This window comes from Homo sapiens, chromosome 3 (genome assembly GCF_000001405.40).
Source record: "Homo sapiens chromosome 3, GRCh38.p14 Primary Assembly".
NCBI classification, from domain to species: domain Eukaryota; kingdom Metazoa; phylum Chordata; class Mammalia; order Primates; family Hominidae; genus Homo; species Homo sapiens.
Genome location: NC_000003.12, coordinates 14,178,775 through 14,203,308, shown reverse-complemented (window position 1 = coordinate 14,203,308; position 24,534 = coordinate 14,178,775). Strand labels below are relative to the sequence as shown.

Here is a 24,534-nt window from a genome sequence, read left to right as displayed (position 1 = left end):
TAGCTGCAGGAGCAGCACATTGCACGGGTCCAGAGGCTACAGCATGAGCGGCACCACTGGAGCTGGGGCACACAGTGGCCCTTATTTAGGCTTTAGAACTAGATTAGCCTGGACTCGCGGTGGCCTCAGGCAAGTCTATTTCACTGTCTTGGGCTCTTCATCCCCTTCTGTGAAACGAAGGTGCTGAATGACGCCTGGACTTCCGAGGTCTCAGACTTTTGGCTCACTCTTCCCATGCCGACTGGCCTCCCTGCCGACCCTCCACCAGGAAAAGCCTCATCTCAGAGCCTCTGCGCGGCCTCCAGTTTCTGGAAGAATGCTGTTTTGCCAAATCCCCTTGGGGCCTGTTCCCTCCTGCTATTCAGATGTCCGCTCAAATGTTCTCTGCTGAGACAGACCTCGTCTGAGCACTGTTCCCCCTCACCCCCCACAACACCATGTCACCTCCCATCTCCTCACCCATTTCAGGTCCTTCCCAGCTCTTAGCATCGTGCACATAGTTGGTCTTGCTCAGGCCTCTGTGGACAGATCCTGGCACATAGCGGACATCTGAAAATAACTTTCAATGGAACAAATCAAGTTATTTCAAATTCACCATTCTCCTGAAAACTATCTGGGGAGGAAAAGAGCAGGGACAGTTGGAATAAGCTGAAGGAGTGGCCTCCCAGTGCCCCTTCCACCTCTGTGCCTCTGACCCTGGTGTCAGTGATTTGGCAGTAACATCCCAGCACCACCCTAGCCTGCTTCTAGGGCCACTTCCCAGCCCTTACAACTGACCTTAGGACAGAAGCTGTTTGTCTAGCCGGTACGTGACACAGCAGGGACTCGCAGCCAGGTTTCTCTGACCCCGCTGCACTGCTAGACCCTGTATGTTCAGTTTTCCACCTCACTAAGGGTCACTCTGGGGCTCGTGTCAACACTCAGAGCCCAGATCCCTGCAGCATTGCAAGTGGATGGGATGAGCACCAAGAAAACATTCCTCTGGAGTAATCAATATCAGAAACTGCAATGGGGCATGCTGCCTCCACATCCAGGACATTTCTAGAAGCAGCCAAGAAAATAAGAACCTACATGCTCTGGTTTATTAAAATTGGGCAATGAATCTAAAAGGAATTTAAAGCATTTGGCCTTATCTTCCTCATTTCTTGGTATTAGTTTTCTATGTAAATTAATAACTAGTTAGGTATCTAGAGTTGGCAAATACTGACACTTTCAGGTAAATGGTAATGGGGAGGATGGCCACGAGGGTAAAAAACCGGGGAACACTGTCCAATTGTGGGAAGGAAACCACAAGTGTCTGGAAAACAATGTGCAAAGTTCACCTTCTTTCAAACTCCCATTTGAACCTTCCATCCACAGTGCTGATCACAAAGTCCTGTTGCACTAGTCTTCTTGTCATTTAAATATTCATTTAACATTTATTGAAGACAAATTCTTGGCCAGGCCCTCTGCCAGGGGTTGTGAATATGGTCTCTGCCTGTAAGCAGCAATTTGTCTCATGGGGCTTAGTGTTCTTCAGTCCACTCTGTTCAACTACCCTGCCCTCCCCAGAAGCTCTGAGGACCCCCTGATACCTACCCCCAGCTTAACAGCCCTCTTGTGTTGCAGATCTCCTACCTAGACCCCTCAAGAGGACTCGGGCTACCATCAGGCCCAGTCAGCCAACAAATCTGAGCTCCACCCATACTGATCCCCACACAGGTTGCTCCAGAACCTCCTGGATTCCAGAGCAATAGCTTAAAGTCATAGTGTCAGTCTGAGGTGTGTTCCAAGAAATTTGTTACTAATAGGAAAGTACCAAAGGGATTTTTCTATAAGTTGGGGCAGACTAAAAGTTTTCCTGTGTAATAGGCATTGTGTCCAGCTCCATTTCCCCTTTCCTCTGGTTTCCTTCAGAGAACGACCCCTCCTTCTGCACTTAGACCATACAGCTCAGGTGGGGATAACCTTGCTCTTAGTTCCAGAAATGGGCGTGTGACTGAGGCCTGGCCAATCAGAGCCCCACATTCTCATGGCCGTAAAAACCAGCCCACAGATGGGCACAGGGACCAAGCAAGGAGGATGAGACCACTTTAGCTGGAGGGCAGGTAGGCTGGAAGTCTGCATCTGCTACAGGGAAGAGCTTGCCCACGAATGAAATCCATGTAGTTCAGCAGAGCTGAGTGACAGAGAAACATCAACTGTGCTTCTTGATCTAGCCAGGATGACTCCTGGAACTTTTATTAATTTTCTACATTGAACACAGCTGAGCATTACTCACATCTGACATCTGTTCAAACAATAACATTTCTCCCCTCCTGGCAGCAGGCTAAAAGCAATATGGGTAATAGCTAAGTATTATTTGAGACAGGGTCTTGTTATGTTGCTCAGGCTGATCTCGAACTCCTGGGCTCAAGTAATCCTCCCGCCTCAGTCTCCTTAGTGGTTGAGTTTACAGGTGTGTGTCACCGCACCCACTTTAGCTGATTAAATAAAAGGGTGTGTGAAACCACTTTCTGCCTCTTAGTGTGAAGAGGGATAGTACTCTAGTTTGGGCAAATCTTCAAAAATCACTATTTGAAATTTGAAAATCGTCCATTTGCAGCTAATGATTAAGTTTAACTTGGGATACTCAAGTTACTTTTCATTTTGGGCACATTTCATCTCAAAGATGTGGTCCCATATTTTGTCCATTTTTCTTTGTGGGAGGCAATGGCAATTCATATCGGCCTCTCATAAAACAACCAAGACCGGGATCCAGGCATGATACTTGCTGAAGAGGCTTCCCTTAGGCTAATCTGACACCTCATTGCAGAAACCACCAGTCACCAGCTCCACTGACCACCTGCCATCCAGCTGGCTGGAGCCGAGTGCTCTGCAGACTCAGAAGTCCAAGGCGTGGCTCCCAGGGGCCCTCACACCATAACCCCTCAGTGGACAGCACCACTGCAGAGGAAACCTCAGTGTGGACCATGGCAGGGCCCTGCTTGAGCTGTCTCTGTTGTGGATTGAGTCCCAGCTCCAAAAGGACTCACACATTGCCTCCCCTCCCTCCATTTCCTGACACATAGGTGGCTATTCTGCAGTTAACCTTTTATTGTCCCTCCCCTTGTATCTTAGCAGCTAGGAAATGAAGTAGGTTGGTATGTTTTAGTTGTGTGTGCATATGAGAGTAACAGTGTCAGATATTAAGGTTCATGGGTTTTAGAAATGTGTATAATCAAGTCCTCACAGCCAAAAGTTTTAGTGTAAACTATCAGTTCCAGGAGAAAAAGGAGAAAGATAACTAAGAATGAAGAGAAGAAAGTGTCCAGGAATTCAGTGTGACTATCAGAAACCACTAAAAATGAATGCAGTGCTGGGGAGAACTGCAGACTGGCAGAGCGAGGCCAGATGGCCTGTCACCCCACGCCTTAGTGAACACCAGGAGCCAACAGACTGCCCAGAGCCAGGGCCTTGGTACCACACCCACACCACAGGCTCACACAGGTAGGAGGCAGGCAGGTTCAATCTTGCTGCCACATACTAATGACCACAGGCGGCCTGAGGTCTTTGAGGTTGTTTCTTCTAACATTCTGCAGGAGGGAGTTCATTTTTCAATACTGAATGGGCTGCTGTAAACAGGTTATCTCCTGGGACCACTACAGCTTAAGGACAAAGCGTGGGGATGGCACAAGTGAAGGGAGGGTGTCTCTCCTGCCTCCTCACCTAAGATGAAGCCTCCATCAGCTCACCCACACTTGTTTTTCTCTTCTCCATGAACTTGCAGGGGCATGTACCATTAGTAAGGAAAATAAAACCTTTTAAATATGTTTACTGAAAGCATCTTTCTTGCACAAGGCTTAAAGTACTGTGCATTTGTGAGCATATCGTGCTTGATAATGAACACGCACACACATTCAGCTCATTTACAGACAAACCATCCACAAGTTGGATTTTCTACATTTCAAAATGGAATGACCATAGCGGAGGATGTCAGGTTCTAAGCCCTGTCTTGATAAAGTTTGAGAGATTGTAACACGCTTTTACTTTCCTCTTTAGGTTTTAAGCATTATGTGCTGACTGAAGCTAGAAATAAAAACAGCTTTGCTTTCAGCCAATTTCTGCTTTACTGTGTCACTGAGACATGTTGTTTGAGACCCCTCATCATTAATGGCCAATGATCCAAGAGTGGAAAAATGGTCTGAGTCATAATTATAAACAGGTTATGATCAAGCTGAACGTCTGACCTTAGAATTAAATCAGGCCAGAGAAAAGAGAAATCATGCTTTGCTCTGTCTTCTACTGCAGGGTTGATGTTTACAATGTCCCTCTGCCCCTTTCTCCCATATTTGGGTGCTCTTCCCCATGCTCCTATGGCATCCTGCATGTGCATGATTCTATCAGCACTAATCTTACTGCCTGCAATTGTTGGTTTAAACATCTGCCTCCCCAGAAGACTTGAGGGCAGAAAACTTTTTTTTTTTTTTTTTTGACACGGAGTCTCGCTCTGTTGACCAGGTTGAAGTGCAATGGTGTGATCTTGGCTCACTGCAACCTCTGCCTCCTGGGTTCAAGCGTCTACTGCCTCAGCCTCCTGAGTAGCTGGGATTACAAGTATGCGCCACCACGCCTGGCTAATTTTTATATTTTCAGTAGAGAAAGGGTTTCACCATGTTGGCCAGGCTGGTCTCAAACGCCTGACCTCAGGTGATCCACCCACCTTGGCCTCCCAAAGTGCTGGGATTACAGGCATGAGCCACCATGTCTGGCCCAGAAAGCATTTTGATAAAACTCTGGTTCCCAGCACTCAAACCTGGTGCCTCAAACACAGTAGGTGCACTGCAAATGTGTGCTAAGTGAAGGTAAGACATGCTTACTTTAAATAATTCACAAGACAGAAGACCGCACTTAAAAAAATCTACAAGGAAACACCAATTTAAAGAAAAGAAAAATCAGTAAGTATCTGTGAGAATAATGGAGCAAAAGAAGTCCTGAAAGAGTTCTGCATCTTGGTGGTCATATTTATTGGAGAGCTTGAGAAAAATGAAAATACCATTTAGCTTAAGAAGTTGTGAGTTATCTGCAAATCAACTCATTTCAGGAGTGGAAGAATCCCCGGAATTATTTCTTAATATCAAAATGTATGCAGGTTTCTCTTATGAATGTTTTGTACTTTTAGAGAGGCCACTGTACAAAGTCTCCCGTTTTCCATACAGGACAAATTCTTTGTTTCAGCCAACTCTCAGTGGAGGGGCAACCAGGACAACGCCATCTCCCCGGACAAAGAGCATTGGAATATTCCGTTTCGTTGACTAGAAGAGAAAAAAAAACAGAACATATTTGTACAACTGTGTATTACTGCTTATTGTTTGTGACAGAAATGTTAAAAAATGGATTCATCATGACACAAAAAAATTGGATTAAAAAACCTGATCACTTCCCTTGGTAGCACCAAGAACCAATCCATCAACTGCTTCCTTTCGACAATTGTGGCAGAGACTGGAGCTACCCATTAAAACTCACTCTTCTCCTCCTGGGCACACAGCTGGACTATGTTTCTTATTCTTCCTTGCAACCAGATGTAGCCATCGGATTGCTTTAACCAATGGCAAGTAAACAGAAATGACAGGACTATATCCAGACTGACCCAGAATGCCCCTCTGCAGTCGTTCCTCTAACACTAAATGAACTAAGATAATGGCGAGAGCTCAGGGGATGGCAGAGCCACTGATAGGTGAAGCCTGGGTCCTTGACTTGCCACCTGGAAGAAAGCTATTGTGCAGATCTAAACCCCACCAGGGCTGTCATATGGGCAAGAGATCAACTTCTACTTTGCTGAGCCATTATGTGTTACTTCTGGGTGCTACTGTGGTCACACATATGGAATGGATACCTTGAAGCATGAGCTTAGTGGTCAGGCCTTGGGCAGTAAAGAAACACATGAATGTTCGAAATCCTAATATTATGCCTTGGCAAAATATTAGATAAAACTTGGAATGTAGCCCAAGGGGCTCCTAAACTCACGAGCTCTGGGAGAAGAGGCTGGAAAAGCCAAATGTTAGTAGATGTTGCTGTTAGCCTAATGTATTTAGCAGGGCAGTAGAAGAAACAGAAAAGCTCAGGCAAGAACTAGTTGGTTTTCAAGCAGAGATGAAAAGAAACAGGATTCACAGGGTTAGAAAAGCCACTGGCTTTTAGACCCCAAGTTACAGAAATAAGTATGAAAAAAGGCTTTGAGAAACAAGGCCCAGCAAAATTTCCCAGGTAAACAAACTCAGCCCTGAGGCAAAGATCAGATTAAGGGTGTTGTCTTTCCACCCAAACTTTTGTAGCAAATGGCCTCAAAGTAGTCAACATTAATTTCAGAAAGCAGAACAGGGGTGAGAAACTGAAGAAATAAAGCAGTCCTAGAAACTATGCCTAGGGAAGAGCTTAGACAGGTTACTGGCCCTTTGAATTGTTTGGATGTAAACAGCTCAGAAACCTATGTTCTAAGTTTTTAAAGAAATTGCATTGCCAAAGAAACCATAAGCCTGGCCAAAAAAAACCTTTGACTATTTGCGTCTTCCAGCATAATAGAAGTTGGCCCTGAAAGCTCTGCGGACCCCATTTAGGGTTGCCAGATTTTGCAAATAAAGATGTAGGACGCACAATTAAATTTAGTATAAGTTCCAAACATTGGATGGGACATATTTGATCTAATTGAGGGATTTCTGCTGCTACCAGGACAGGGAGCATTCATGCCTTCCCAGTGGGATTCACCACTGTTAGGGACCAGTAACTGTCTTATGTTTCTCATTCCTTCCTTCTCTGGGAAGAGAGTTTTTGTGGTGGATATCCTGTCCCTGCTGTGTTTATCATAAATGTGGGAGGGGTAAATTATTCATCTTCTTTGGGGATAGGTTTCTGTACAAGTGACCACATGTGGTCTGACGGAGAAAACCGAAAGTCACGTGGCAGTCCTGCACCCTGAGCTGGATATCCTGCTTGCATCCTTTGGGGGTACAGATGGTTCTGTCTGGGAAGTAGGATTCTGCAACACCCACTATCGTTGATCTCTGCAGCAACTTGGCCATCAAACTCACAAAACTCGGCCAGGCACGGTGGTTCACACCTGTAATCCGGCACTTTAGGAGGATGAGGCAGGTGGATCATGAGGTCAGGAGATCAAGACCATCCTGGCTAACACGGTGAAACCCCGTCTCTACTAAAAATATAAAAAAAAAAATTAGCCAGGTGTGGTGGCGGGCACCTGTAGTCCCAGCTACTTGGGAGGCTGAGGCAGGAGAATGGCGTGAACCTGGGAGGCGGAGCTTGCAGTGAGCCAAGATTGCGCCACTGCACTCCAGCCTGGGTGACAGAGTGAGACTCCGTCTCAAAGAAAAAAAAAAAAAAAAACTCACAAAGCTCAAGATAGCCAAGGGCACACAGCTTTATACAAAGGAAACACAGCACATGCCAGCTGGGCAGTGGCAAGTGTCTCAGAAGTCTTTACAGCATTCCAAGGATTCTTCCCTAGCTACCCAAATGACTGCTTAGTTAGCAGGTGGGTGCAGGAGCCACCCTGGCTTAACTGCGCCAAGCTCCACACCAGAACCAGTATCGTTTACAACAGTTCCATGAATGTGGCTTTACAGTCACCAAGGAGGGGGCACACTCCACTACAAGGGTTGCATGCTCTCAGGGAAGACCATTGCTATGGGCTCCTAACAGTATTCAGAGCTCATTCACAGTTCTCTCAGTTCAGATGCAGTTTACAAACCAGGGGCCTCTTTTTAAAATACAGCAATATTTTTTATTAACACAGCTGACATTCCAATTTTATCTGTTTCTAGGGAAAATGAACTGGTAAGTTAACCCATGGTCATTTTTCCATAAATAATTTTTTTTTTAAAGCCCTTTGCTCACAGGTATATACAGACACTGGTTGCCAGTGTGGGTGGGGGGGAGCAGACTATGGCAGAAACTGCTAGCTGTTCATAAAAATTCCTTCTTCCTTCCTGGGCACACAATTCTACTATATTTCCCAGGCTCCCTTACAGTTGGCTAGGGTCATATCACTGAGTTCTAGCCTAAAAAATTTAAGAAGAGGTGTAGTACCTCCAGGCTGATTCATAAACTTCTCATGTACACTCCTCTACTCCTTTTTGTTCCCACTGGCTGGATGTGAAATGACGACAAAAGACTTAGGGGTTGGTGGAGCCAGAAGACACAAGGAGTCTGGGTTCCTGAATGACTGCATGGAGGAAACCTACGTAGAATAATTACGTCATTGAGAAACAAACTCCAGCAGTGCAGAACCACTGCACATCTGTGACTGCTGAGCCAGTACATGTTTAGGGGGTACCTGTTACCACAGTCTAGCCAACACGAACTAATATGCCCACCAGAGTATACTTTCAACAACCCATGTGTGAGGAATCTCCCCTGGGCTGTCTGGTCATAACACCCAGGCAGGAGATCTGGCTACAGATAAATAATTCCTGAGAAAGAAGGCGACTCTAGTACAAGGAGTTCAGTGTGTAAACTTAAGTGCTCTAGGTTTAAAAAAAAAAAAAAAAAAAAAAAAAAAGGATGCTATAAACTCAATATCAGAGAAAAGTATTAAATTTTCTAGTAATGGTGATGAATTTCACCCAGAATTTTTTTTTTTAAGTGTGCATGTGTGTCTGATAGGTGACAAGGCTTGGATCTGCAGTCCTTGTAATGAAATAGAATCTTCTGTTTAAAAATTATTGAGTCAACCTGCAATGAAATCTGAAGTTCACTCATACAAACATTTAGAGTGCCCATTATGTGTCAGGTATTATGATGGGCAGTAGACGCAGAGAGATGAATAAAACATGGACTGTCCTCCTAGAATCCCCATTCTAGAAATAAAAAGAGAGAAAGTATGAATTTATTCTGCAGGTATACTCCCACATAAGAAAAAGATAAAACTGAGATTTCTCCTCTCTGGACAGGGCATCTCTGTAAAAAAGGCAGCAGCCCCAGTCAGGGGCTTATAGCAGACTTAAACGTCTCTGCCTGACGGCTCTGAAGACAGCAGCGGACCTCCCAGCACAGCGTTCGAGCTCTGCTAAGGGTCAGTCTGCCTCCTCAAGTGGGTCCCTGACCCCCGTGTATAATGACTGTCAGCTCCCAGTTGGGGCCGACAGACACCTCATACAGAAGAGCTCTGGCTGGCATCTGGCAGGTGCCCCTCTGGGTTGAAGATTCCAGAGGAAAAAACAGGCAGCAATCTTTGCTGCTCTGCAGCCTCCGCTGGTGATATCCACACAAACTGGGTCAGGAAACTCCAGCAGACTGGCAGCAGAGGGGCCTGACTGTTGGAAGGAAAGAAACAAACACAGATGTGCTAAAAAGGATTAGCACATCTACTCAAAGACTCCATCTGAAAGTCACCAACATCAAAGACTAGAGGTAGATAAATCCACAAAGATGGGGGAAAAACCAGCACAAAAAGGCTGAAAATTCCAAAAACACGAACGCCTCTCCTCCTCCAAAGGATCACAACTCCTCGCCAGCAAGGGAACAAAGCTAGACGGAGAATGAGTCTGATGAACTGAAAAAAGTAGGCTTCAGAAGGTGGGTAATAACAAACAACTCCGAGCTAAATGAGCATGTTCTAACTCAATGCAAGGAAGCTAAGAACCTTGAAAAAAGGTTAGTCAAATTGTTAACTAGAATAACCAATGTAGAGAAAAACATAAATGGCCTGATGGAGCTGAAAAACATAGCACAAGAACTTCGCAAAGAATAAACAAGTATCAATAGCTGAATCAATCAAGTGGAAGAAAGGACATCAGTGATTGAAGATCAACTTAATGAAATAAAGACAGAAGACAAGATTAGAGAAAAAAGAATAAAAGGAACAAACAAAGCCTCCAAGAAATATGGGACTATGTGAAAAGAACAAATCTACATTTGATTGGTGTACCTCAAAGTGACGGAGAGAATGGAACCAAGTTGGAAAACACTCTTCAGGATATTATCCAGGAGAACTTCCCCAACCTAGTAAGACAGGCCAACATTCAAATTCAGGAAATACAGAGAACACCACAAAGATACTCCTCAAGAAGAACAACCCCAAGACACATAATCATCAGATTCACCGAGGTTGAAATGAAGGAAAAAACGTTAAGGGCAGCCAGACAGAAAGGTCGGGTTACCCACAAAGGGAAGCCCATCAGAGTAACAGCAGATCTCTCTGCAGAAACCCTACAAGCCAGAAGAGAGTGGGAACCAATATTCAACGTTCTTGAAAAAAAGAATTATCAACCCAGAGTTTCATAACCAGCCAAACTAAGCTTCATAAGCGAAGGATAAATAAAATCCTTTACAGACAAGCAAATGCTGAGGGATTTTGTCACCACCAGGCCTGCCTCACAAGAGCTCCTGAAAGAAGCACTAAACATGGAAAGGAACAACCAATACCAGCCACTGCAAAAACATACCACATTGTAAATAACATTGACACTATGAAGAAACTGCATTAACTAATGGGCAAAACAACCAGCTAGCATCATAATGGCAGGATCAAATTCACACATAACACTATTAACCTTAAATGTAAACGGGCTAAATGCCCCCAATTAAAAGAAACAGACTGGCAAACTGGATAGAGTCAAGACCCATCAGTGTGCTGTATTCAGGAGACCCATCTCACATGCAAACACACACATAGGCACAAAATAAAGGGATGGAGGAATATTTACCAAGTGAATGGAAAGCAAAAAAAGCAGGAGTTGCAATTCTAATCTGTAATAAAACAGACTTTAAACCAACAAAGGTCAAAAGAGACAAACAAGGGCATTACATGGTAAAGGGAACAATGCAGCAAGAAGAGCTAACTATCCTAAATATATATGCACCCAATACAGGAGCATCCAGATTCATAAAACAAGTTCTTAGAGACCTATAAAGAGACTTAGACTCCCACACAATAATTGCGGGAGACTTTAACACCCCACTGTCAATATCAGACAGATCAACGAGACAGAAAATTAACAAGGATATTCAGGATTTGAGCTCAGCTCTGGACCAAGCAGACCTAACAGACCTCTACAGAACTCTCCACCCCAAATCAACAGAATACACATTCTTCTCAGCACCACATCACACTTATTCTAAAATTGACCACATAATTGGAAGTAAAACACTCCTCAGCAAATGTAAAAGAACAGAAATCATAACAAACTGTCTCTCAGACCACATTGCAATCAAATTAGAACTCAGGATTAAGAAACTCACTCAAAACCGCACAAATACATGGAAACTGAACAACCTGCTCCTGAATGACTACTGGGTAAATAATGAAATGAAGGCAGAAATAAAGATGTTCTTTGAAACCAATGAGAATGAAGACACAACGTACCAGAATCTCTGGGACACATTTAAAGCAGTGTTTAGAGGAAAATTTATAGCACTAAATGCCCACAAGAGAAAGCAGGAAAGATCTAAAATTGACACCCTAACATCAAAATTAAAATAACTAGAGAAGCAACAGCAAACAAATCAAAAGCTAGAAGAAGACATGAAATAACCAAGATCAGACCAGAACTGAAGGAGATAGAGACACGAAAAACCCTAAAAAAATAATCAATGAATCCAGGAGGTGGTTCTTTGAAAAAAATCAACAAAATAGACTGCTAGCCAGACTAATAAAGAAGAAAGGAGAGAAGAATCAAATAGACGCAATAAAAAATGATATAGGGGATGTCACCACTGATCCCACAGAAATACAAACTACCATCAGAGAATAATATAAACATCTCTACGCAAATAAACTAGGACCTCTAGAAGAAATGGATAAATTCCTGGACACATACACCCTCCCAAGTCTAAGCCAGGAAGAAGTCGAATCCCTGAACAGACCAATACAAATTCTGAAATTGAGGCAGTAATTAATAGCCTACCAACCAAAAAAAGTCCAGGACCAGACAGATTCACAGCTGAATTCTACCAGAGGTACAAAGAGAAGCTGGCACCATTCCTTCTAAAACTATTCCAAACAATAGAAAAAGAGGGAATCCTCCCTAACTCATTTTATGAGGCCAGCATCATCCTGATACCAAAATCTGGCAGAGACACAACAAAAAAAGAAAATTTCAGGCCAATATCCCTGATGAACACCGATGCAAAAATCCTCAATAAAATACTGGCAAGCTGAACCCAGCAGCACCTCAAAAAGCTGATCCACCACGATCAAGTCAGCTTCATCCCTGGGATGCAAGGCTGGTTCAACATATGCAAATCAATGTAACCCATCACATAAACAGGACCAATCACAAAAACCACATGATTATGCCAGTAGATGCAGAAAAGGCCTTCGATAAAATTCAACACCCCTTCATGCTAAAAACTCTCAATAAACTAGGTATCAATGAAACATATCTCAAAATAATAAGAACTATTTATGACAAACCCGCAGCCAATATCATACTGAATGGGCAAAACCTGGAAACATTCCCTCTGAAAACCGGCACAAGACAGGGATGCCCTCTCACCACTCCTATTCAACATAGTATTGGAAATTCTGGCCAGGGCAATCAGGCAAGAGAAAGCAATAAAGGGTATTCAAATAGGAAGAGAGGAAGTCAAATTTTCTGTTTGCAGATGACATGATTGTATATTTAGAAAACCCCATCGTCTCAGCCCAAAACCTCCTTAAGCTGATAGGCAACTTCAGCGAAGTCTCAGGATACAAAATCAATGTGCAAAAATCACAAGCATTCCTATACATAAATAACAGACAAATAGCCAAATTATGAGTGAACTCCCATTCACAATTGCTACTAAGAGAATAAAATACCTAGGAATACAACTTATAAGGGATGTGAAGAACCTCTTCAAGGAGAACTACAAACCACTGCTCAAGGAACTAAGACAGGACACAAACAAATGGAAAAAGATTCCATGCTCATGGATAGGAAGAATCAATATCATGAAAATGGCCATACTGCCCAAAGTAATTTATAGATTTAATGCTATCCCCATCAACCTACCACTGACTTTCTTCACAGAATTGAAAAAAACTACTTTAAACTTCATATGAAACCAAAAAGAGCCTGCATAGCCAAGGCAATCCTGGGCAAGAACAAAGCTGGAGGCATCATACTACTTGACTTCAAACTATACTACAAGGCTACAGTAACCAAAACAGCATGGTACTGGTACCAAAACAGATATATAGACCAATGGAACAAAATGGAGGCCTCAGAAATAACACCACACAGCCACAACCACCTGATCTTTGACAAACCTGATGCACACAAGCAATGGGGAAAAGATTCCCTATTTAATAAATGGTGTTGGGAAAACTGGCTAGCTATATGCAGAAAACTGAAACTGGATCCCTTCCTTACACCTTTTACAAAAATCAACTCAAGATGGATCAAAGACTTAAATGTAAGACCTAGGACCATAAACATCCTAGAAGAAAACCCGGGCAATACCATTCAGGACATAGGCATGGGCAAAGACTTCATGTCTAAAACACCAAAAGCAATGGCAACAAAAGCCAAAATTGACAAATGGGATCTAATTAAACTAAAGATCTTCTGCACAGCAAAAGAAACTATCATGAGTGAACAGGCAACCTACAGAATGGGAGAAAATTTTTACAATCCATCCATCTGACAAAAGGCTAATATCCAGAATCTACAAAGGACTTAAACACATCTACAAGAAAAAAAACAACCCCATCAAAAAATGGGCAAAGGATATGAAGAGACACTTCTCAAAAGAAGACATTTATGCAGCCAAAAGACATATGAAAAAAAGCTCATCATCACTGTCATTAGAGAAATGCAAATCAAAGCCACAATGAGATACCATCTCATGCCAGTTAGAATGGCGATCATTAAAAAGCCAGGAAACAACAGATGCTGGAGAGGTTGTGGAAAAACTGAAATGCTTTTACACTGTTGGTGGGAGTGAAAATTATTTCAACCATTGTGGAAGACAGTGTGGTGATTCCTCAAGGATCTAGAACTGGAAATACTATTTGACCCAGGAATCCCATTACTGGGCATATACCCAAAGGATTATAAATCATGCTACTATAAAGACACATACATATGTATGTTTATTGCGGCACTATTCACAATAGCAAAGACTTGGAACCAACCCAAATGTGCATCAATGATAGACTGGATTAAGACAATGTGGCACATATACACCATGGAATACTGTGCAGCTATAAAAAAGGAGGAGTTCATGTCCTTTGCAGGGACATGGATGAAGCTGGAAACCATCATTCTCAGCAAAATATCACAAGATCAGAAAACCAAACACCCCATGTTCTCACTCATAAGTGAGAGTTGAACAATGAGAACACATGGGCACAGGGAGGGGAACATCACACACCAGGGCCTGTCGGGGGCTGGGAGGCTAGGGGAGGGATAACATTAGGAGAAATAATGTAGGTGACGGGTTGATGGGTGCAGCAAACCACCAGGGCACGTGTATACCTTTGTAACAAAACTGCACGTTATGCACATGTAATCCAGAACTTAAAGTATAATTAAAAAAAAAGATAAAGATAAAATTATTTACAGCAGAATAGGTTTTACTAGCAAAATATTGGAAATGGCTATCTGTCCATCAACAGGAAAACAGTTAAATTATGGTACATCTACACAGTGAAGTACCATAAAGCTAAAAACGAAAGCACAAGGAAGCTATGTATGAAAGGGAAAGAGCACTGTGATAAAAAAACAGGGGAAGGGAGAATAACTAACACTCATTAGCATATGCATAAAGACACGAGAAGATTCTCAAGAAACCAGTAATAGTGCTTATGTCTGGGGGTGGGGTGTAAAGATGATGAACAGAGGCTGGAGTGGAAGACATTTTACTGCACTGTGTTCCTTTCTGCATTTTGTAATTTTAAGACTGTGTGAGTCTAGTATCTATTCAAAAAGTTAAATTAAAATGGAAGCAATTTAAAATGAGTAAGAAAAGAAATATGTGTTAAGTACTATACGGTGATATGGACCATATGGTCTCAGCATGGACCATAAAGAGTTAGTTATGTATGAGGGAGCAGGTCTAGAGCTGCTCTAATATGAGTGCCACTAGTCACAGGTGGCTCATTAAATTAAAATTAAATAAAATTAAATGTGCAGTTCCTTAATCACACCAGCATCCATTTGAAGTGCCAAATAGCCACATGTGGCTCATAGCTCCTGTAATGACAGCATAGATAGAAATTTTCACTGCTGCAGACAGTTCTATTATTACAGTGCTAATCTACAGAAAGGTCTAGAAGAGCCATCTGATGCTGTAGAAGGCCTTCGGGCAAGCAGAGGGAGCAGAGGGCTTAGTTACAAAAGGGCACAACGTCCCCAAGAGAAACTGTCTGGTGAGCCAAACTACGAGGTGTTTGGTGAAGGAAGGTAGTACACATGATGGACAGCCGAAAAAGTAGTCTGGGTCAAATAACACAGACTGTTCACAATCTGTAAAATGGAAACTCCAATTATGGAGGACCAAGAATCAGAAGAGTAAGACTGACTGCTTTCCACCTTCCCATTTATAAGTCAGCAGCCAAATTAATTATTTAGAAGTCAATTATGTAAGTTATAGGGGGAAAAAAACCCAACAACCTGATGGTTTATGGGTCCCCCATACTGTTTTGGTGGTAAAACGTTGATGTTCATTAGTTATTTCAATAGACGAGAGAGAGAGCGAAATGTAAAATGGGCCAAGGTAAGAAACCATTTAGTCTGGTTTCCCATCTTGGAGAGGAGTAACAAGAGCGCACAGGAGAGTGAAGTAGTTGTTCTCCATGGCACTGAACCAGATGCAGACACTCTCTATAATATCACTGTCTTTGCTTTCTATGTCTATAGTTAATACACATTTACACACTAAAGTATTCTCAGTCATCCAAAGATTCAATTTTAAATGTTTTACCCAATACATCATGGCAATGTGAAAAAGAACTCATTAACTAAATAGACTTTGCTTACTGTTCTCAGCTGCAACTCTAGGCGCAAGAGAGGCCACATGCACGCAGCACGCAGCGTTCAGGAGCTAACCAGCCCCAGTAGCCTTTCAAGGCAGCAATTAATCTTAATGGAGGTCAGTAACTACTGAGACTCTGTTACAGACACCCCACCCAGAGAAATGCACATGTGCACAGACACATAGCACCTTCAAACAGTGTCAGGAGGAACCGCACTTGGAGCAGACTACTAGGGATGACACAGGTGGACCCTGCTGTTAGTTCACTGCAAACATGGAGTAAGTGGCAGTGTTCCCTTCTCTGTAATAGACACCACAGTTGAAGAGTCATTTCTGTCACAAGCAGAATTCAAGACAAGAGCATTAAAATGCTTATGAAGAGTCTACTCTCATGGTAAAATTCTTATGTTAATGATGTTACATGAATAAAGCAGAATATTAAAGCCACATATTCCATATTTTATCACATTTAAGGTATCATTTGTAAGCTTAGTTGAGCTGAAAAAGGATAAATTTTGCCAATTAAACTATGACACAATTCTTTTTTTATCACATCACCTGTAAGATGCAATCAGATTTTTAAGATGCTAAAATTTAAGAAAAAGTGCATCTTAGTACTTATGATTGTGTCCATGTTAAGAAAACAATAACCACTAAACAATAGTTAATAAATGAAATTCCTAAAGGGGAAAAAATGCAGATTTTAAAAAATGCTATTCTTTCTTGGAGAAATAAGCCAGCAAAAATACATAAATAAATAAGTAAAAATTTTAAAAAAAGAAAAAAATGCTAAATGTTTACACTCAGAAGGAGAAAGAACACTAGCAAAGGAGTCAGGTGTGGTCAGAGAGAGGAGGAAAGCCAGGATAAAGCAGAACTACAAAATCCAGTGAAGGCTAACAGTTTAACAGTGACAACGTGCCTGTCACTATCTGAAGGCTTTTCATGTAGCCCTCAATGAATCCTCCACAGTTGTATGAAGTGGGTCCTATCATTACTCCCATTTTACAGACAAGGAAACATATCCACAGACAGGTTAGGTGAGCTGGCTCAATTAAAAAGGTGGTAAGCAAGGGAGTCAAAATTTGAATCCATGTAGTCTTGTACTCTGAGCCCACATTTTAACCACTATGCCCTGGCAGGGTCAGAAACTGTCTTTCCAAATCTTAAAGACCTTTCTTTCTGCTACGGCCTGGCATAGTGGCTCCCACCTGTAATTCCAGCACTTTGGGAGGCCAGGAGTTCGAGACCAGCCTGGCCAACATGGTGAAACCTGTCTTTACTAAAAACACAAAAATTAGCTGGGCGTGGTGGCACATGCCTGTAATCCCAGCTACTTTGGAGGCTGAGGCACGAGAATTGCTTGAACCTGGGAGGCGGAGGCTGCAGTGAGCTGAGACTGACATTGCACTCCAGCCTGGGTGACACAGTCAGACTGTCTTTAAAAAAAAAAAAAGACCTTTCTGACAAGATCACTGGTGATAACTAATAAATGTGATTTTTTTTAAACACTGAAGAAATAAAATGAATCTGCATAGCCCAGTGAACTACTATTTTCTAAAGAACCAGTGCCTGATGTAACCAAATCATGCATGAGTAAGAGATCCATTTGAGGTGCAAGGCAGATTAATGAATTTTCACCTAACAAGAGTACGAAAAGTTTACTGTTACCGTTTCAGATTCCAGATGGCAAATAATCTTTGACTGACTACCACTTGTTCAGTTTGGGTGTAGTATCAAAGGTAGAACATTCACAAAACAAACTCCTTCCTTTCCAACTACCTATCTGTGTGGTCAGATTTGCTTCAATTACAACAACAACTCATGATAGATTTAACGCAGAAAAAAGATATGAGAATCTTCTAGCTGTTATCGATTAAGCGGGGCATTAAAGAGATTTGCAAAAATGTAAAACAAAGACATTCCTCATTAAAATTTTGTTTTAGAAAATAGTTATTGTTCATAAAAATGTTACTTACAGTAACACGTGATAGGTTTTTTTTTGTTTTGTTTTGTTTTGTTTTGAGACAGAGTCTTACTCTGTCCCCCAGGCTGGAGTACAGTAGCACGATCTCAGCTTACCGCAACCTCTACCTCCCAGGTTCAAGTGATTCTCCTGCCTCAGCCTCCCGAGTAGCTGGGATTGCCAGTGCCTGCCGCCACGGCCGGCTAATATTTTGTATTTTTAGTAGAGACAGGGTTTTGCCATGTTGGCCAGGGTGGTCTCGAACTCCTGACCTCAGGTGATCCACCCGCTTTGGCCTCCCAAAGTGGTGGGATTGCAGGCATGAGCCACTGCACCCAGCCTTTTTTTTTTTGAGACAGCGTTTCACTCTTGTTGACAAGGCTGGAGGGCAATGGCACAATCTCAGCTCACTGCAACCTCCGCCTCCAAGATTCAAGCAGTTCTCCTGCCTCAGCCTCCCAAGTAGCTGGGATTATAGATATATGCCACCACACCCAGCTAATTTTTTGTATTTTTAGCAGAGACAGGGCTTCACCATATTGGTCAGGCTGGTCTCGAACTCCTGACCTCAGGTGATCCACCTGCCTCAGCCTCCCAAAGTGCTAGGATTACAGGTGTGAGCCACCATGCCTGGCCAGGTTTTTTTTTTTTTTGAGACGGAGTCTCGCTCTGTCGCCCAGGCTGGAGTGCAGTGGCGGGATCTCGGCTCACTGCAAGCTCCGCCTCCCGGGTTCACGCCATTCTCCTGCCTCAGCCTCCCAAGTAGCTGGGACTACAGGCGCCCGCCACTACGCCCGGCTAATTTTTTGTATTTTTAGTAGAGACGGGGTTTCACCGTTTTTTTAGCCGGGATGGTCTCGATCTCCTGACCTCGTGATCCGCCCGCCTCGGCCTCCCAAAGTGCTGGGATTACAGGCGTGAGCCACCGCGCCCGGCCCAGGTTTTTTTAATGAATAAATATTTAAAAAATTTTTCAGTTTCAGTTTCTAATAAATTAAGTATTAATAGATCAAATCCACAGAAAACGAAAGAACACTGTCCACTATTACTGTTACACACTATTATACATAGCCACCTTGCATTGTTGTATCTCACTGAATCTGGGAACCCTATGAGGTAAGTGGTAGTATTCCTGCTCACCAATGAGAACTCAGCTAACTTAATTCCCTTGCCCAAGGTAGCCCAAGTAGGAAGTGGTCAAGCCAGTACTGGCAACAGGGTCTGTCAGATGCCAGAACCCTTGCTTTTAATTGCTATGCTCTACTGAGTCCATAAGTAGGTGTCAAAACATGACAGGCTTCCCATAAATATGGGTTAAGCTGTTCGAGAGAGAACAGCTGATATTTGCAAAGCAATGAATAGAATTGCATGACTTACTTTATATATCTCTTCATATGTTTCTTCATCAATTTCTATAGTAGTCACAGTTTCTTCCACATCTCCCAAGATCATATTTAAATGTTGATCATAAGCCTAAAGTGGGAGGGTACAGAACCAAGAAATTTAATAATCAAATTACAAAAATGATAAAGGCTTAACAATATGCAAATTGCTCAATTACAACTAGGGCATTTGATACTTACATCACAAACTTTTACATGCAAATAAAAAGTAATCCTACAGTACTAATATACTGTTTCTTCACAAGTCACTTCCAATGATTACTTAATTGACCTGATAAAAATATAAAACTGCTTATATTGCCAAAAATAAATTTACTTCAAATCACTTGAAATTATTTTTAAAGTCTCCACCCCACTTGTTATCTAAGGCAGTCACATCATTTATAATATTTAATTATGAAAAACAGCAGATTCATCTTCATCATTTATCAGTAGACATCCTTCAATTTCACCTATAACAATCTGACAAGAAAAATACAGTAAAGAAGATAAAATCCTTTGTTTACTGGTAAGATAATGCCATTGCAGTCTTCTAAAGGCACACAGTAGACCACATGTCGCAGAGAGAAAGTAAGTAGAGCAACACCCTGCCCATTTCTAACCTATCCAGAACTTAAATGTGTTTAGTACCTGTGGGCTCAATCAATAAATGTTACAGCTAAGATATTCAATCCAAGCTCCAAAGTTCATTCATTTTACTAAAAGGTGCACTTTCTGGGACCTTGTTCAGAACTCAAGTTTACTTCTAACAACGTGTTACATGGTTCACCTGCTCACATCAAAATAAAAGTCACTTGTCAGCCATGTGGGGAACTGCTAAGCAGGGCACACTAACAAGATCAAACATGTATAGCTGAGAGGCACAAAACAAACAGAAAGTTGGGGCCATTTAGGATAGAGACCATCAAGTTTACACAGGGAACTGAAGAAGCCTCCAAGAGCCACAAACTTAAGTAATTAAACTCAATTCCATTTGTATTCCCAAAGTTACCACCATTCCTTTCCTGGAGTCTCTCTTCCTTTAAGGCCAGCTGTAGATTGTCTCCCTGGGTCCCTATTTCCTTTCCAAGCCCAGAGGTTCTTTATCTTTAGGTTTTGTGGAAGGCGGAACCACAGTACTTAAGAGTGGGGCTCAGGTCAGACAACCTAGATTCAAATTCTGGCTCTCCCTTTACCGTCAAGTGACTGTACCTTTCTGAGCCTGAGCTTCCTACACTGCAAAGCAGGAATAATTAGTATGTATCATCATAGGGTTGTTATAAAGATTAAATGAGATATCACACACAAAATGCTTAGAATAATAGTACCTGGTCTATAATTAATGCTCAATAAATGTTAGCTATTTTTAATCACTTTAGGGTAGAGTAGCAATACTAAAAACAACACACTTAGGAAAGTAACAAGTCATTAAGGAGAGGCAAAACCTTCAGGGTTCTCTATGAACAAATGGGATTATTTCAAGGGACCAATTCTACAGATATTTTGCAGATATGCACAAAGAAATATGTAAAAAAATGCTTACTGCAAGTATTTACGTATTTGTAGCAAGAAATGAAAAAAAATCGATCACTATCATATACAGAATCCTAGGTAGTCATTAAAAAGAATAAACGAAAATTAAATGCACTCATGATCAATTTCCAAGAAAGATTAAGTGAAAAAAAAAAAAGGTACTGAAAAACATGTATGGCAAGATCCATGTTTTGTAGAGGTAGGGTGTACATAATGCAAGTATGTGCACATGTACATATATGAGTGTATATGTGTAAACATACAGAAAAGGTAACCCAATTTTTAAATTTTATTTTTTGTAGAGACAGGGTCTCTCTATGTTGCCCAGGCTGGCAACACAGAGAACTCCTGGCCTCAAGTGATCCTCCTGCCCCAGTCTCCCAAAGTGCTGAGATTACAGGAATGAGCCACTGCACCTGGCCAAGATAATCCCATTTTTAGTAGTGATTACCAGTAGAAGAAATGGGATTTCACTTTTTACTCTATATATTTTTGTGCTGTTTAACTTTTCCTAATAAAACACATATTTGTGTTTTAAATTTAAAAAACATTTACGAATGGAGGACAAGTAAATATTATTTACAAATAAACAGAAGGGAAAAATGAAGGGAATAAAAATGTTCTATAATAAACGTATTTCTATTAAAAGAAAAAATGTTAAAAATGTGAATACATGCCGCTTTATTTGGCTTATGTGATATGGGTGACTTTCCACCACCCTCTCTTCCTTCAAAATACCCTTTCACTCTGGACAGGTTTTACATTTCAAGGGAGTGGGGGTAGGAAGGAATCTGATTTCAAGGTAACTTGATAAATTTACTTACATGTAATCTGCCTCGAAGCTCTCGGTCATTTCTCATTTTCACATAAATTCGCTCATCTAGGCTGAGCCTGATAAGATCCAGGGGCTCCTCTACAGTGTTGGTAGTTTGTTGCTGATAAAAGAAACAGGATTAGTAATGTAGTACTAGAGTCAGAGTAGTGCTTAAATCACTGCTATGCTGTGTGACCATGGGCAAGTTATTTAACCTTTTTCTGCCTCAGTCTCCTAATCTGTAAAATGGAGATAATAGTGTCTACCTAATACTGTTTTTGTGAGGCTTAAGTGATATACATGAAGGCTTAGAACAGAGCTTTTCACATAATACGTGCTATATAAATGTAGGTTAAAACACACATACATGAGAAGTTACACAGCAAAATAATCATGACTATACTTTGTTCCCTCAAAATCCAAACTGCCTGACCCAATTTCAGGGCATAGGGTCTCAGGGACTTTAGCTTTATCTCAAATATTATGTAATCATTGGAAAAACACTCACTTAATGCCTACCATACACTAGTCAGAATGCCAAATAGAGGTGTAGGTTTATGGGAAGATTATGAATTCAGCACAGGTTGAGTTTAGGCTGCCAACTGGTGAATAAGATAAATATATTTAGTAGCCAGTATAGAACACTGGTTGAAAGCACTGGCTTAGCCGGGCATGGTGGCACATGCCTGTAGTCCCAGCTACTCCAAGGGCTGAGGTGGGAGGATTGCTTGAGCCTGGCGAGGTGGAGGTTGCAGTGAGCCAAGATCGTGCCACTGCACTCCAGCTTGGGCAACAGAGTGAGACTCTTGTCTTTTTTTTTTTTAAAAAAAAAAAAAAAAAAAAAAAAAAAAAAAAAAAAGGCAAGCAAGCACTGGCTTTGGAGTCAGGCAGTCCGGGTTCAACTCCTGGCTGTGACCTGACATTTATGAACTGAGATTAAAAATCATGCCATCTGTAATTCTCAGATTCTTCATTTGTAATTGAGAAAGCCACAACCTTCTTTCTGGGTTCTTATGAGGATTAAACTAGTTAATGCATTTAAAAACAGTGCCAGGAAAACAGAAAATATTAATATTTAGAAATGGTTCCTATTGGCCGGGCGTGGTGGCTCACGCTTGAATCCCAGCACTTTGGGCGGCTGAGAAAGGCAGATCACCTGAGGTTAGGAGTTTGAGACCAGCCTGGCCAACATGGTGAAACCCCATCTCTACGAAAAATACAAAAATTAGCCAGGTGTGGCGGCACGCACCTGTAGTCCCAGCTACTTGGGAGGCTGAGACAGGAGAATCACTTGAACCCAGGAGGCAGAGGTTGCAGTGAGCTGAGATCACGCCACTGCACTCCAGCCTGGGCGATAGAGTGAGACTCCATCCAAAAAAAAGAAAAGAATAGAAAAAAAAAGGAAAAGAAAAGATTCCTATTAATATTATATTATTACAGAACTGCTGGAAACATTGGTTTTAGAGGTCAGGGCTAGGATGACTTGGGGTCACCCACATGGAAGGGATGGTTGCAGCCGCTAAGAGTTAGAAAGATTATTCAAGGAGAGCTTCTTCAGTAAGTACACAAGGCCAGTGGAGGAAGGTAACTGAATTGGTAACAGGCTCTGAAGATTCAAAAGGCCTGATGAGAGAAAAAAATAACCTAACTCAACTGGTCCCTATGTCCCTCAGTTCAACAAGTGTTTGTTAAAGGATCAGATAACCAACTGTTAGATTACAATGATAGAGAAGTCACAATCCCCACCCTCAAGGAGCTCATTCTACTGTGGAGAGGCATACAAATAATTATAATACTGTAAGAATATGCACATGAAAAAGCCCTACTGCTACCTAAGCCTCTGTCTGGGATGCCCACTGTCTGCTCTTTTCATCCTGTAGCTTTAAATATTGGCTTCTCAAAGAGGCTTCCTCTGATCATCTAACTCATTCACTCAAATATTTTTTGAGTGTTTCCAGCACTGTTCTAAACCCCAAAGACAAAAGAATGAACAAAACAAAATCCCTGCTCTTATGGCATTTACATTCTAGTGGGGAGAGATTCACATTAAACAAAGATGCATACATTTAATATGAAAAAATAACTCTCTATGAAGAAAAATGAGGCAGGGTAACCAGAGTAGCGGGAGTGCTATTTGGGCAGAAGTCCTCTCTGAGGAGGTCAGATTTCAGTAGAAAGTTTAAGTTGTGGCATGATCTCCAAAGATATTTGAGGAAGAAAAAGACCAGGTGAAAAAGCTTCTAGGACCATCTGTTATTCTGCATACCAGTTCCTTGTTTCCTTCACAGCACATCACAGTTCCTGGAAGTCTTACATATTTATATTTACTTTTATCTGTTCTCCTCGCAAATATAAGCTCCAAGTAATGGCAAGGATCTCTTATATGTCGATGTCAGTGTCCCTGGCCCTTAGAACAGTGCCTAACCATACAAAGCTGATGTTCACTCTATCTGCTGAATGAATAAATAATTGTTGCGCTCACTAATGATAACAACTCCTAACTTTATTACCTGGCTTTCTATTGGAATCCTGACAGCTCCATGAGGTAGCTAAGGATAATAATCTACAGATTTAAAAAAATGAAGCGAAGAGTGTGAGAATAGTCATCAGGTGGGCTTCTAACAGGAAAAGGTCTCAGGGCCTACGGCAAAATTCGGAGGGGGGGTTACGGAAAGGACAGGGTGGATTAGGCCATGGTGACTTGGAGAGAGGAGGCACGACTGGCCATTTTTCCTGAGTCTGGAAAAAGCAGCCTAGTACAAGAAGCTCCTTCGAGCGACCTCCTTAAAATACACTTACCTGGTCTACGTCGTCCGCCATGTTTCAAACCCTGCGCCCTTTCCCGCCTCTCGCGAGAACACAAGAGCAACGTCAATCTCCGGAAACGTGAGGATACAATACACCGG

The 24,534-nt window shown here is 41.9% G+C and overlaps 1 protein-coding gene across 1 annotated transcript, besides 1 other annotated feature; it reads right to left on the bottom strand.

Annotated features, from left to right (window-relative positions):
- Positions 1-2,186: 2,186 nt before the first annotated feature.
- On the bottom strand, positions 2,187-24,492 carry LSM3 (LSM3 homolog, U6 small nuclear RNA and mRNA degradation associated). Its single transcript, NM_014463.3, has 4 exons — positions 24,428-24,492; positions 21,639-21,749; positions 19,277-19,372; positions 2,187-5,273 (listed from the first exon to the last, which is right to left on the bottom strand). Exons 1-4 carry the CDS (start codon positions 24,446-24,448, stop codon positions 5,193-5,195), a joined length of 309 nt encoding a protein of 102 aa, NP_055278.1. The 5' UTR covers positions 24,449-24,492; the 3' UTR covers positions 2,187-5,192.
- Positions 24,399-24,448: an enhancer, noted in NCBI's record as "active region_19501". NCBI's record gives its function as "activates an Ori minimal core promoter by ATAC-STARR-seq in GM12878 lymphoblastoid cells {active_cell/tissue: GM12878}" and the evidence as "EXISTENCE:reporter gene assay evidence [ECO:0000049][PMID:35858748]".